Source organism: Homo sapiens, chromosome 19 (assembly GCF_000001405.40).
Source record: "Homo sapiens chromosome 19, GRCh38.p14 Primary Assembly".
NCBI classification, from domain to species: domain Eukaryota; kingdom Metazoa; phylum Chordata; class Mammalia; order Primates; family Hominidae; genus Homo; species Homo sapiens.
In genome coordinates, this window is record NC_000019.10 from 14,177,811 (window position 1) to 14,193,206 (window position 15,396).

At 53.7% G+C, this 15,396-nt stretch overlaps 1 protein-coding gene across 18 annotated transcripts in view; it reads right to left on the bottom strand.

The window, feature by feature from the left end:
* Positions 1-15,396, bottom strand: part of ADGRL1 (adhesion G protein-coupled receptor L1) — a 58,427-nt gene that overhangs the window by 30,068 nt on the left and 12,963 nt on the right. For 12 of the 18 annotated variants that reach the window (XM_047438418.1, NM_014921.5, XM_005259818.4 and 9 more), the window contains exon 2: positions 5,723-5,887. In XM_047438418.1, coding sequence (XP_047294374.1) covers positions 5,723-5,792 — 70 coding nt within the window. In that variant the 5' untranslated portion in view covers positions 5,793-5,887. Of the gene's footprint in view, positions 1-5,722; positions 5,888-11,769; positions 13,008-15,396 lie in introns of those variants that run through there. The other 6 variants (XM_047438415.1, XM_017026476.2, XM_047438416.1 and 3 more) reach the window with 3 other exon arrangements.

The following is a 15,396-nucleotide window of genomic DNA, read 5'->3' on the forward strand; positions in this document are numbered from 1 at the left end:
GCCAAGAAAACACCACCTCTGGCTCGGCTGTGTCCTGGAAGCCAGCTGAGGCAGCCTCAGTTGATTCAGCTGTAGAATGGGCCTCTCAGTGTGCCCACTTGTGTAGTGAGGACATTAACCTGGCCCAGAGAGTGCCTGGACTCTCAGCTCCTAGGAAGTGACGTCTGAGCCTTTGGAATGCTCTGCTTGATAAGAGTGACTGTTTTCCTGGGGTCCTCGGGCTACACCAGATATGCTGTTATGGATTGAACTGTGTTCCCCTGAAAATTCATATGCTGAAGTCCTAACCCCCAGGACCTGAAAATGTGACATTATTTGGAGATAAGGTCTTTATAGAGATAAATTCAAATGAGGCTATTAGGGTAGGCCCCAATCCAATATGACTGTGGTCCTTATAAAAACGGGCAATTTTGGCCAGGCACAGAGGCACACACTTGTAACCCCAGCATTTTGGGAGACAGAGGTGGGCAAATCGCCTGAACCCAGGAGTTTGAGACCAGCCTGAGCAATATAGTGAAACCCTGTCTCTACCAAAAATACACAAATTAGCCAGACGTGGTGGCACACACCTGTAGTCCCAGCTACTGGGGAGGCTGAGGTGGGAGGATCACCTCAGCCCAGGAGGTTGAGGCTCCAGTAAGCCATGATTGTGCCATTGCACTCTAGCCTGGGCAACAGAGCGAGACCCTATCTCAATAAAAAAAGAGGGGGTGGGGCGTTGTTGTTAAGATAGGATCTTCCTCTGTCACCCAGGCTGGAGTGCAGTGGTGCGATCATGGCTCACTGCAAGTCTCAACCTCCTGGGCTCAGGTGATCCTGCCTCAACCTCCCAAGTAGCTGGAACTACAGATTCACGCCACCATGTCCGGCTAATTTTTTACATTGTTTCATAGAAATGGGTCCCTTTTCTATGTTGCCCAAGCTAGTCTGGTCTCAAGCAATCCTCCTGCCTTGGCCTCTCAAAGTGCTAGGATTATGGGCCTGAGTCCTCGCACCTGGCTAAAAGGAGAAATTTGGGCACAGAAGTGTACAGGGGGAAGACAATGTGAAGACACAGGAGCAGGCGGCCATCTATCTATAAGCCAAGGAGAGGCCAGGCGCGGTGGCTCACACCTGTAATCCCCGCACTTTGGGAGGCTGAGGCGGGTGGATCACCTGAGGTCAGGAGTTTGAGACCAGCCTGGCCAACGTGGTGAAACCCCATCTCTACTAAAAATACAAAAATCAGCTGGACGTGGTGGCATGTGCCTGTAATCCCAGCGACTTGAGAGGCTGAGGCAGGAGAATCACTTGAGCTGGGGAGGCAGAGATTGCAGTGAGCCCAGATCGTGCCACTGCACTCCAGCCTGGGTGACAGAGTGACATTCCATCTCAAAAATAAATAAAAAATAAAAAAAAAATAGGTCAGGCACGGTGGCTCACGCCTATAATCCCAGCACTTTGAGAGGCCAGGGTGGGCAGATCATGAGGTGAGGTGATTGAGACCATCCTGGCTAAAACGGTGAAACCCCATCTCTACCAAAAATACAAAAAATTAGCTGGGCATGGTGGCGGGCACCTGTAGTCCCAGCTACTTGGGAGGCTGAGGAAGGAGAATGGCCTGAACCCAGGAGGCAGGGCTTGCAGTGAGCTGAGATTGCACCACTGCACTACAGCCTGGGCGACAGAGCGAGACTCCATCAAACAAACAAACAAATAAATGCCAAGGAGAGAGGCCTCAGAAGGAACCAACCCTGGCTGATACCTTGACCTCAGACTTCTGGCCTCTGCAACTGTGAGACAATCAATGTCTGTTGCTTAAGACACATGGTCTAGGCCGGGCTCGGTGGCTCACACCTGTAATCCCAGGACTTTGGGAGGTCGAGGTGGGCGAATCACCTGAGGTCAGGAGTTTGAGACCAGCCTGGCCAACATGGTGAAACCCCCATCTCTACTTAAAAAACTACAAAAATTAGCCGGGTGTGGTGGCAGGCACCTGTAATCCCAGCTACTTGGGAGGCGAGGCAGGACAATTGCTTGAACCCAGGAGGCGGAGGTTGCAGTGATGGCATGCAGAGATCATGCCACTGTACTCCAGCCTGGGCGACAAACAAAGACACATGGTCTCTGGTACTTTGTTAGGGCGGCCCTAGTTAATGAATATGCTAACAGGACTTGGGGCAGGAGCTTTGGGTCACATAGTCTCAGCTGACTTCTAGAGATGCTAGAGATTCAGCTCAGCCCTGTAGGTGGTCTATCAGGGCTACAGAGTACAGAACTGAGCTCCAATACAAACCCTGGATAACAAGGCTTGGGGGAGCCTCTATGGTTGGCAGTACACCATGTGTGTTGTCACACATTGTTGCCGGGAGAGTTAACACTGTCCAGGACTCCACTGAAGGGAGTAACTGGAAACTCCATGCATGGAACTTTCTTGGACTCTGCCCTATGCACCTCTTCCCTTGCCTGACTTCTATTTGTTTTGAGACAGAGTCTCGCTCTGTCACCCAGGCTGGAGTGGAATGGCGCGATCTCAGCTCACTGCAACCTCTGCCTCCCAGGTTCAAGCGATTCTCCTGCCTCAGCCTCCCAAGTAGCTGGGATTACAGGCGCCTGCCACCACACCCCACTAATTTTTGTATTTTTAGTAGAGACGGGGTTTTGCCATGTTGGCCAGGCTGGTCTCAAACTCCTGACCTCAGGTGATCCGCCCGCCTGAGCCTCCCAAAGTGCTGGGATTACAGGCATGAGCCACCACGCCTGGCCTGTTTGTTTTTTCAGACAGGGTCTCACCCTGTCACCAAGGTTAGAGCACAGTGGTGTGATCATAGCTCACTGCAGCCTCAAACTCCTGGGCTCAGGGGATCCTCCTGCCTCAGCCTCCCGAGTAGCTGGGACTACAGGCACATACCACCATGCCTGGCTAATTTTTTTTTATTTTTTGTAGTGATGGGGGTACTTGCTATGTTGCCCAGGCTGGTCTCAAACTCTTGAGCTCAAGCAATCCTCCCACCTTGGCTTCCCAAAGTGTTGGGATTACAGGAGTGAGCCAGTGCACCTGGCCCTGATTTTAATCTGTATCCTTTTGATGTAATAAACTGTGAGCAAATTAGCCGGGCGTGGTGGCAGGCACCTATAGTCCCAGCTACTCAGGAGGCTGAGGCAGGAGAATGGTGTGAACCTGGGAGGTAGAGCTTGCAGTGAGCCGAGATCACACCACTGCACTCCAGCCTGGGCGACAGAGCGAGACTCCATCTCGAAAAAATAAATAAATAAAAAATAAATAAACTGTGAGCATAACATCTAGTTAGTTCCAAGTCCTTCTAGTGAATGATCATACCTGAGTGTTCTCTGGGGGACCCCCAAACTTGTCATTGGTGTCAGAAGTGAGGCTTGGCTTGGGGACTTCCCTAACTTCACCCCACCCCATGCGAGGAGCAGAGAAAACATGGGAATGAACTCATGTTTCTAGAAGAAACCATAGAGACTGGCTTTGCCGCTGACAGGGCAGATGTGAAGTCTGGTTCAGAATGCAGATTCGGGCCCCATACTCGGCCTGCTGGATCAAAATCCCAGGGGTGAGGCCAGGAGCCTGCAGGGCTATGTGCCAACCAGGTGATGGTGATGCATGCTCAAGTTCGAACAGTGGCTGGGCGCGGTGGTTCACGCCTGTAATCCCAGCACTTTGGAAGGCCGAGGTGGGTGGATCACCAGAGGTCAGGAATTCGAGACTAGCCTGGCCAACATGGTGAAACCCTGTCTCTACTAAAAATACAAAAAATTAGCCGGGCATGGTGGCAGGCGGCTGTAATCCCAGCTACTCGGGAGGCTGAGGCAGGAGAATCGCTTGAACCCGGGAGGCAGAGGTTGCAGTGAGCCGAGATCACACCACTGCACTCCAGCCTGGGCGACAAGAGCAAAACTCCATCTCAAAATAAAAACATTTAAAAAGTTTGAACAGCCACCGTTCTTCTTTCCCCAAGCCTCAGTTTCCCAATCTGTAAAATGAGCACCTACAGCCCCGGGTCATCCTGCAGGGATCCTGTGCCTTAGAAAATGCTCTTGAAGGAAAGCACTGAGCATGGCACCCTGCACACGGAGGGTGCCTGATCAGTATCATCTGGTGAACCTCCAAGGATTTCACTGTGACAAGGAAGGGACATGTTCTGAGCAGGCTGAGCTCCCTGGGGGGATTGCGTTGCCCCATGTTGGTCATCACCTTGTACCACACGGGGATGGAGAACTAGAATGTAGGAGCCAGACAGATGGCTGGGGTTGGAATTCCAGCCCGGCCACTCCCTGGCTGCAGCCTCATCCAAGTCACTGACCGCCTCTGTGCCTCTGTCCCTCCCCTGAGGGGCAGAGAGGACAATTCCCATCTCACAGGACTGTTGTGATGGCTCCAGGGTGTTAATGTGTGCAGAGCGCAGTGAGATGATATGAATGCTAATTATTGTTATTATGAATATTATTAAGGCGGTTTGTCTGCACAACAGAGGGTGCCTGGCAGGGTCCATGCTGGCCGGGGCAGCACCTTCTGTGACGCTGGTTCCAGCCAGGCCCTGCGGGGTGCTGGAGGGCAGCAGGGATTCAGCCAGGGACCCAGATGCCCCAATGTGGGGACCGTCGCTTGTAGGTGAAGGAAGTGACCACCTGCTGTACGAGGTTTCGGGAGGGCACTCGTGCGGGACGGTGACAGAGCTGAGCCTTTCCAGAGATCTGGGTGGGTACCCCAGGGGTATGGCAGGGAGGCCCTTGGGGTTTTTTGGGGTGAGTTGAGTCCCAGCGGGGGGAACATTTCACATGTGTTCCTCCAGCACCATCTGCCTCCTCATCTAATTTTAGCCTTCCCGGGCTTGGGAGGGAGGGCCGGGGGTGGAAGGCTGGCTCAGATGGGTCTGGGGGTGGAGGCAGCCCTCCCGGCCCAGCTGGGGCTATGGGGCAGGACCTGGATGGGCAGAGAACGTAGCAGCAGAGGAGTGAGGTTGCTGGCCAGCGGGGCAGTGCCAAGGCCCTGGGGCCCAGCTGAACCGTGTCCCTTCAACCTTTGGAGCTTTCCAGAGGGCAGGGCCAGAGGGAGCAGAGTCACCCGCCAATGCCCTTCATACAGGGATGTCGGGGTGGGCAGGGGGCACATCCCAGAGTGAGGGGCCGGGCCTACTGGCCTCTTCTCTTGGCCTCTCACCTTATCCCGCCCTTGCCCCCGGCCTGGGCTGGTCACGGGGCCAGTAATCGAGTAATCGGTGAGGGTGGGCGGGCAGGCTTGGGGCACTAATAGTGGCGTGTGCAGGATCCTAGGGCCGGCATAGGGCCGAGCCGGGTAATTAGTTGTTTTTAAATAAACGTCAGCGGGCATGCTTTAATTAAGCCTTCTTCCCAGTGAGAGCCTCGAAGATGTAATCACAGAGAGAGAGAGAGAGAGAGAGAGCGAGAGAGAGACAGAGAGAGGAGCATCGGCTCACCAAGAAGGCCTGTCCTGGTCCCAGGGGCCACAGCGGGATGGCCCCTACCAACCTGGCCCAGCCGACTTGTTGGAGGTAAGAGGATGGTCCAGGGGCCTCTTGGTGGCACTGGGGTGTGTGTTACCCCTGAGTCTTCCACTGGCCTGCTCCAGCTGAGGTCTGGGGCGGGGCAGGGGGCTGTAATTCTTTACTGAGTGATCAGGAGGGTTTTCAACATTTTATCTGCCCCCCCCAGAAGGGTTTGGGAGCCGCGGCCCCTCCCCGGCCCCAGCAGCACCTACCTTGGGTGGCCGAGGTGACCAGGACGGCGGTGACACACAGATTCCAGAGCACTGCGGCTAGGCGGGCCATGGTGGCAGCCGGGTGCGTGTCCGGAGCTCTCAGTGGCCTGTGCGGGGGGCTTTGCCCCACATCACCTGGCAGGCACCACGGCCTGGACCACCAGCCTGGGGGAGGACAGGGAGACTGAGGTGGGGATAGGGCCTCCAGGCCGCTCCCCTCTCCTCCTGCTGGTGGCTGAGTAGCTCTGAGAGGCTGAGGTCCAGCACGTCCCTCGAGCCAGCCCTATCTGTAGGGCCCCCTCCGGGGTCTGCAGCTCACACCACACCCCCCACCCTTACACCCAGCAGCCAGACCCAGCTATCTGGGCACCTCTGGGCAAAGAGACTGCCAACTCTTCCCCACTGGAACCTCCTGGGACAGCTCACGGGGAGATCCCAGGCAGGCCTTGGACCCTCTGGAAGCCTCTTCCCCATGCCCCTGTCCTGACCCTGCCCACTCATCTCCCCTACTCGCATCCTCACCATGAGCAAGGAGGTAATGAGTGTCCTCCCAAGTGAGGGACTCATTGCAACCCAACTTGCAGCCTCCCCGTCTTGGGCAGAAATCCAAGCCCCCGCCCCCAGCCCCCTGCTTCCTGTCTCTCAAGCTCTGGTGGCTAATTAGAATCCAGCTGGCGCCACAGATCGGGAACCAGGGACGCCCGAGTCCCCTCTTTCCTCTCTGGGGGACCTTCAGGGTAAGCTGGAGACAGGCAGGCGGGGTGGGAGGCGGACACTGCCTCCCCCTCTGGGGGGGCCAGGGGAGATGGGGGAGGGGTGAGAATTGTGTGCTGTCCCCTGCCATCCTCCCCACCTGCTCTGTCCCCAGGCACAGCGGCTCAGTTTTTTTTTTCATTATTATTATTTTTTTAAATTTTAGAAACCAGGTCTCACTCTGTTGCCCAGGCTGGAGTGCAATGATATAATCACAGCTCACTGCAGCCTCAACCTCCCAGACTCAAGGAATCCTCCCACCTCAGCCTCCCAAGTAGCTGAAATCACAGGCTTGCACCACTACCACCAGCTAATTTTTATTTTATTTATTTATTTATTTATTTATTTATTTATTTATTTATTTTTTTTTCTGAGACGGAGTCGTGCTCTGTCCCCCAGGCTGGAGTGCAGTGGCACAGACTCAGCTCACTGCAAGCTCCGCCTCCTGGGTTCACGCCATTCTCCTGCCTCAGCCTCCCGAGTAGCTGGGACTACAGGCACCCACCAACACGCCCGGCTAATTTTTTGTATTTTTAGTCGAGATGGGGTTTCACCGTGTTAGCCAGGATGGTCTCTATCTCCTGACCTCGTGATCCGCCCGTCTCGGCCTCCCAAAGTGCTGGGATTACAGGCGTGAGCCACAGCGCCCAGCACCACCAGCTAATTTTTAAATTTGCTGCAGAGAGGAGGTCTTGCTATGTTGCCCAGACTGATCTCAAACTCCTGGGCTTAAGGGATCTTCCTGCCTGGGCCCCCCAAAACTTTGGGATTACAGGAGTGAGCCACTGTGCCCAGTCCAGGACTCGGTTCTAACTGGTTTCTTCCTGCCTTATGGCTGCTCCTTCTCACCTCTCTCCCCGCCTCAGTCTCCCCAAATCCTCTCAGGCTTGCACGCTCAAATGTCTGTCCTCAGCTCTTTGCTTTATCTACACCCTGGTTCTCCAGGTGTGGTCCCAGCACACTGGCATCAGCCTTGCCAGGAACTTGGTAGAAACACACATTCTCTCTCTCTCTTTCTTTTTTTAAGAGACAGGGTCTTGCTCTGTTGCCCAGGCTGGAGTACAGTGGCACAATGACGGCTCACTGCAACCTCCAGATCCTGGGTTCAAGTGATGCTCCTACTTCAGCCTTTCGAGTAGCTGGGACCACAGGCTCTCGCCACCACGCCCAGCTAATTTTAAAATGTCTTATAGAGACAGGATCTTGCTATGTTGCCCAAGCTGGTCTTGAACTCCTGGCCTCAAATGATCCTCCCACCTCAGTCTCCCAAAGTGCTGGGATTACAGGCGTGAGCCACTGTGCTGGCCAGAAACACACATTCTCTGAGGCAGGCCCTGAAGCGTGGGAACCCCTGCTCTGTCATATCCAGCTGTCATCCCAGCCTGTCCCATCTCAGGCTGTCCTGGGCTCTCAGTACCATCATTGAGCCAGCACTTTCAAATCTCTTATGTCCAGCCTGGAATCTCTCATCAGAGCCCCCACTACCATTTCCCTGCTGAAAACCAAAACCCTTGTAATTGGCCCAGTTAGCTCCCTGACCCCATTTCTGCTCCAGCCACTCCTGCTATTCCTGGACCACAGCAGGCCTTGCCCCAGGGCCTTTGCACCTGTTGCTTCCTCCACCTGTAGCTTCTGCCAACCCACTGTCCACATGGCTGGCTCCTTCAGGCCTCTGCTCAGATAGAACTATTCACCTGGTGTATAGAATGTCCTCTTCATGGGGCAGGGATCATTGAACTGTTTTGCTCATGGTGGCCGTATCCCCAACTTTTATTTACTTTTATTTTTTTAGAGATAGGGTCTTGCTCTGTCACTCAGGCTGGAGTGCAGTGGTGAAATCATGGCTCACTGCAGCCTCCACCTCCCAGGCTCAAGTGATCCTCCCGCCTCGGCCTCCCTAGTAGCTGAGACCACAGGTATGCACCATCACATCCAGCTAATTTATTTTATTTTGCAAAGATGAGGTCTTGCTATGTTGCCCAGGCTGAACATGAACTTCTGGCCTCAAGAGATCCTCCTGCCTCAACATCCCAAAGTGCTGGGATTACTGCGTGAGGCCATCACCACTGTTGTCTTCATATCCTCAACTTTTAGAATAGGCCTGGCACGTGGCAATGAATTAATTATTTGTTGAATGAATCTCAGATCCCAAAGCTGAGACTCTGCCTTGATTCCTCACCTTCCCTGTCATCCCCCTCACGGAAGCCATCAGCAACTCCTGTGGGCTCTGCCTCTGAAGTACCTCGCGACCTGCCCACTTCTGGCTCTAAGCACAGCACCCAGGCCCATGCACCATCCTATGTCACCTGTATGTTGTCCTGGCCTCCTTGCCCGCCTCCCAATCCGCCCTTCACTCAGAGCTAAGGGACCACATGATGATGTTGATCCGAACATTAACTGACCCCCTGGTCTCTGCTGGGGTCTCAGTTCCTCACTAGAGCCCAGAGGCTGTGGGTGAACTGGTGCCACCAAGCTCTCCAAGCCCCATTCTGTCCTCCCTCCTGTTCCTGAAACATTCAACATTCCAGTTCCAGTCCCCAAGCAGGATCCCTGCATGTCGGCTGCGGCTGCTCATTGTTCAGGGCTCAGCCGCAAGGTCACCCCAGCAGAGTGACCTACCCTGACCCCCTGCAAACAAAACAGTCCTCGCCTGCTGCCCTCACCCGCCATCCTTTTCCCTGTTTTTAATTCACAGCTCTCAAGTGAGCACCTGAAATTACCTTTTTATCAACACGAGCTTCTTGAGAGAGGCCCTTACAAATCAGCACACGGCTGGGCACGGTGGCCCGTGCCTGTAATCCCAGCACTTTGGGAAGCCGAGGCGGGTGGATCACCAGAGGTGGGAGTTCGAGACCAGCCTGGCCAACATGGTGAAACCCCATCTCTACTAAAAATACCAAAAAATTAGCCGGGCGTGGTGGCGGGTGCCTGTAATCCCAGCTACTCGGGAGGCTGAGGCACGAGAACTGGTTGAACCTGAGAGGTAGAGGTTGCAGTGAGCTGAGATTGTGCCATTGCACTCCAGCCTGGGCAACAGAGCCAGACTGTCTCAAAAATAAATAAATAAAACAAATCGGCACAGGCCCTCAATAAATAAAGATCCCCACAGGGCAGGACACCTGGTCCAGACCCCAGTCTCCTCACGTGGGAAATGGGAAGATAATATCTGCAAGACAGCCCTGAACACCCCCTCTCCAGCCCTGTAGCTCTCTGCCCGCTTCCCCTCTCATGCCCACTCCCGATACCAGCTCCCTCTCCACTGCCCCAGCTTCTTCAGTAAATCCCCCCCAGCTACCTCCAGCCCCCAACCGCGTCTCCCCCCACATCCCTGACTAGACACGGCCAGTGTCACTTTCAGATGATTTTACAGCGTGTTACCCCGCCGCCGCCACCAGCCCCTATCCGCATCTCCCCCACATCTGTGACTAGACATGGCCGGTGTCACTTTCAAATCATTTTCCAGCATGTTACCTTGGGAATGGGGAGTGGCTTCCTTATTTCAACTTCCTCATTTCTCCCCCAACTGCCCAGCCACAGAAAGGTTCAGGGGAGGCAGTGTCCCCAAGCTGAGGATACTCCCCTCCCAGGGTCTCCAAGCGCTTTCTTTCCCACTGCAACAGGCATCCGAGCAGAGGAACTGGTTAGAGGGAGTAAAAATGGCTGGCTTGGTACGGTGACTCGTGCCTGTGATCCCAGTGCTTTGGGAGGCTAAGGTGGGTGGATCACTTGAGCCCAGGAGTTTGCAAGGCTGCAGTAAGCTATGATCCTGCCACTGCACTCCAGTCTGGGCAACAGAGCAAGACCCTCTCTTAATAAAAATAAATAAATAAATAAATGGCAGGGAAGCCACTCGATGCCAAATTGTGTGGGCAGCGAATCCACATGGGTCTAGATCCCAATTTTGCCTTATACATGCCCTGTGTGACCTTGAGCTGGTCTCCTCACCTCCCTGGCCCTGGTTCCCTCTGCGCTGCTATTCTGCAGGGTTCTGGTAAGGAGAGCAGTACACGTACACGCTGGGCCAATACAGGCCCCATCAGAGGGTGCTGTGCACAGCCTGGTGCCAGTCAGGGCACAAAGACACCCACGGAAGAGGCAGTCCCTCTCTTCCTCCCAGGCTGCACCCTAGAATGCTAAGACTCCAGAGTGGACCCCCCAGAGCCATGTATACTTCCACCGGGAACTCCAAGGCACCTTCAGCCCAACCAGACCAAAATAAGCCCCTACATCAGTGCACGGTGCCACCATCCTCCCAGGCCCTCCAGCCAGAACCCCAGGAGCTGAAACCCTTGACTCCTCTCTCACCCCTAAATCCAGTTCAAGAGTAAGTCTTTGGGCTGTGTATACTTCCAGAACACCCCAGTGTTGGTCCACACATCTGTCTTCAGCATCTGCCCCTCTAGTCCTGGGCCCTGGCCACTCCCCAAGTGCCCTCTGGCTCCTTTGCCTCCGACGTCCAGGCTCTCCTGGCAGCCAGAGGCACCACCTCCTTTTTTTTCTTTTTTTGAGACGGAGTCTCACTTTGTCACCGGGGCTGGAGTGCAGTGGCACAATCTTGGCTCACTGCAACTTCCACCTCCCGGGTTCAAGTGATTCTCCTGCCTCAGCCTCCTGAGTAGCTGGGATTATAGGCGCCCACCACCACGAGCAGACACGGGGTTTCACCATGTTGGCCAGGCTAGTCTGGAACTCCTGACCTCAAGTGATCCACCCGCCTCGGCCTCCCAACGTGTTGGGATTACAGGCATGAGCCATCGTGCCCAGCCTCCAAAACTTTTTTATCACCCCACATAGAAACTCCGTACCCACTAAACAATAATGCCCACTCCCCTTGTCGCCCAGCCCTGGTAACTTATAATCTACTTTCTGTCTCCATGGATTTACCTATTCTAGACATTTCATACAAATGGAGTCACAGGCTATGTGGCCTTTTTTTTTTTTTTTTTCCCAGTTAGATGGGGGTCTCACTCTGTTGCCCAGGCTGGAGTGCCGTGGCCCAATCTCGGCTCACTGTAACCTCCACCTCCCAGGCTCAAGTGATTCTCCCATCTCAGCCTCCTGAGTAGCTGGGACTATAGTCACATGACTCCTCTAAATGAACTCCTGGCTAACTTTTGTATTTTTTGTAGAGGCAGGATTTCGTCATGTTGCCTAGGCTGGCCTCAAACTCCTGGACTCAAGTGATCTGCCCATCTTGGCCTCGTAAAGTGCTGGGATTACGGCTGTGAGCCACCATTCCTGGCCTTATTTTGTGTCCAGCTTCTCTCACTCAGCGCCACGTTTCCAAGGCTCACCTACGTTCTAGCCTGGATCCGAGCTTCATTCCGTTTTATGGCTGCGTAGTATTCCACTGCATGGGTGGAGCACGTTTTCTTTATCCAGTCATCGGTAATGGACATGCGGGCTGTTGCACAGAAGGATCCTTTTTATTTTCTCCCTAGCTTTGCTGAGGCATCATTGACAAATAGAAATTACATCTATTTAAGGTTACATGATATTTTGATATCCATTATGTGTTGTGAAGTGATTACCACAACCAAGCTAACAACACATCCAACACCTCACCTAGACACCTTTCTGGTGTGTGTGGTGAGAACACTTGAGTCTAATTCCTCAGCAAGTTTCAAGAAAACAGTATGCTATAATAATTATTATTATTTTGAGACGGAGTCTCGCTCTGTCACCCATGCTGGAGTGCAGTGGCGCAATCTTGGCTCACTGCAACTTCTCCCTCCCAGTTCAAGCAATTCTCGTGCCTCAGCCTCCTAAGTGGCCGGGGCTACGGGTGGGCACCACCGTGCCTGGTTAATTTTTGTATTTTTAGTAGAGATGGAGTCTCATGTTGCCCAGGCTGGTCTCAAACTCTTGAGCTCAAGCAATCTGCCTGCCTCGGCCTCCCAAAGTGCTGCGATTATAGGTATGAGCCGCCACACCTGGCCTGCTATTATTAATTATAGTCACCATGCTGTACCTTAGGTCTCTGGAACTTTTTTCTTTTAGAGATGAGGTCTTGCTCTGTTGCCCAGGCTGGAGTGCAGTGGCACCATCAAAGCTCACTGTAGCCTCGAACTCCTGGGCTCAAGAGATCCTCCCACCTCAGCCTTCCGTGTAGCTGGAATTACAGGTGTGTGCCACCATGCTTGGCTGATTTTAAATTTTTTTGTGGAGACAGGGTCTTGCTATGTTGTTCAGGCTGGCCTTGCACTCCTGGCGTCAAGCGATGCTCCCGCCTTGGCCTCCCAAAGTGCTGGGATTACAGGCACAAGCCATTCTGCCTGGTTAAAACGTGTTTATCTGAAAGCTGAAAGCTTGTACCCTTTGACCTACATCCCCCGCCTTCCCCTGTGCCCTCACCACCATAACCACTGCTCTACTCTGCTTCTACGAGTTCAATTCTTTTTTAGATTCCACAGATAAGTGAGGTCATGCACTATTTGTCTTTCTGTGTCTGGCTTATTTCACTTAGCATAATGTCCTCCAGGTTCATCCATTCCAGAGGGGTGTTTTAAAAGACAATCTTGGCCGGGCGCAGTGGCTCACGCCTGTAATCCCAGCACTTTGGGAGGCCGAGGAGGGCAGATCACCTGAGGTCAGGAGTTCAAGACCAGCCTGGCCAACATGGTGAAACCCCATCTCTATTAAAAATACAAAAATTAGCCAGGTGTGATGGCGGGGACCTGTAATCTCAGCTACTCGGGAGGCTGAGGTAGGAGAATTGCTTGAACCTGGGAGGCAGAGGTTGCGGTGAGCCAAGATCACGCCACCGACTCTAGCCTGGCCGACAGAGCAAGACTCCGTCTCAAAACAAAAACAAAAACAAAAGACAATGTTGAGTGGTGGGTCTTCTGCTTTAACCCCTCCAACACCTCTGACTCCCGCCTTGTCTCCCTCCAGCCATGCGGGTTCCCACCCTCCAGCCTCAGCCTGTCCCCATCTGTGTCCCTCAGACTCAGAGGTGTCCTCCCCAGAGACGCAGACATGGGCCTCTGCCACCCTGTATTACAGTGCCCTGCAGTCACCGCCTGCCTGTGCATCCCTTGCCATGCTGTGACCTCTTGTGTCTCTGTTTTCTTCTTGGTAAAACGGGGATACCTCAGAGGGCAGCTGTGCAACAGGACAAATTCACACACGAGACACTCGGGATGCTCCTGGCACACAGACAGGGTGAAGCATCCCTTGTCCCCATTGTCACCTTCTCTATTAGCTCGGGCTGCCATAACAAAGTGCCATAGACTGCGCGGCTTACACAGCAGAAATTTACTTCCTCCTAGTTCTGGAGGCCAGAAGGCCAAGATCAAGGTGCCAGCGAATTCAGTTTCTGTGGAAATTCTCTTCCGCCTTCTCACTATATCCTCACAGGGCCTCTTCTCTAGACATGCATAAAGGGAGACAGATCCCTGCTGTCTCTCTCTTTTTTTTTTTTTTTCTGAGACAAGGTCTGGCTCTCTTGCTCAGGCTGGAGTGCAGTGGCACAATCCCGGCTCATTGCAGTCTCAACCTCCCAGGCTCATGGGATCCTCCCGCCTCAGCCTCCTGAGTAGCTGGGGCTACAGGTGCGTGCTCCTGTGCCCAGCTACTTTTTCGATTTTTTTTGTAGAGATGGGGTCTCGCTATGTCGCCCAGGCTGGTCTTGAGCTCCTGGCCTCAAGCGATCTTCCTGCCTTGGCCTCCCAAAGTGCTGGGATTACAGGCATGAGCCACAAGCGCCGGCCTCTCTCTTCTTATTGGGATACCAGTCCTCTGAGAGTAGGGGGCCCCACCCTTAAGATCTCATTTAACCTTAACTACCTCCCTCAAGGGCCTACCTCCAAATACACTCACGCTGGGAGTCAGGGCTTCAACCTCTGCATTTGGGAGGGAGGTGGGAAGATACAATTTAGTCCATAACCTCATCCATCCCATCCCTGCTCCATACTTTTACTTGACCACTCCTAGAGTTCCTTTATTTTATTTTATTTATTTATTTATTTTTTGAGACGGAGTTTCACTCTGTCGCTCAGGCTGGAGTGCAGTGGCGCGATCTCGGCTCACTGCAACCTCCACCTCCCAGGTTCAAGCAATTCTCCTGCCTCAGCCTCCTGAGTAGCTAGGATTACAGTCACACGCCACCACGCCTGCCTAATTTTTGTATTTTTAGTAGAGATGACGTTTTGCCATGTTGGTCAGGCTGGTCTTGAACTCCCAACCTCAGGTGATCCACCTGCCTTGGTCTCCCAAAGTGTTGGGATTACAGGCGTGAGCCACTGCTCCCGGCCTTTTCTTTGTTTTGTTTTGAGACGGAGTCTTGCTCTGTCGCCCAGGCTGGAATGCATTGGCGTGATCTTGGCTCACTGCAACCTCCGCCTCAAGTGATTCAAGAACCTCGAGTGATTCTCCTGCCTCAGCCTCCTGAGTAGCTGAGATTACAGTCACAGGCCACCACACCTGGCTAATTTTCGTATTTTTAGTAGAGACGGGGTTTCGCCATATTGGTCAGGCTGCTCTCGAACTCCCAACCTCAGATGATCCACGCGCCTCGGCCTCCCAAAGTGCTGAGATTACAGGCGTGAGCCACCGTGCCCAGCCTTCTAGATTTTCTTTCTACTCCCAGAAGAATGGAAACTCCTGAGGCTGGAACTTGGTTTCCCCGACTCCTGTCTCCTGGTTCCCTGAACACACAGTGGGTCCCCAAGCAAAAACTTACTGAAGACAGGGGAGTGACTAAGGACGGCAGTGAGGATAGCTGGAGATGGGGCGTCTGCCCTGTGACCTGGGGGACCACGCCTGACCCCCACAGGCAGGGTGCCATTGCCTTAGGGGTACAGACAGAGTTCCCCAGGAGCACGACGCCCTCTCCCCAGAGTGGCTCCCCTAGGAAGCTCCAGACACCCCCAGGAACCAGCCTCAGCTTGGCAGGTGGTGGGTGTCCCCCGGGAGACCCA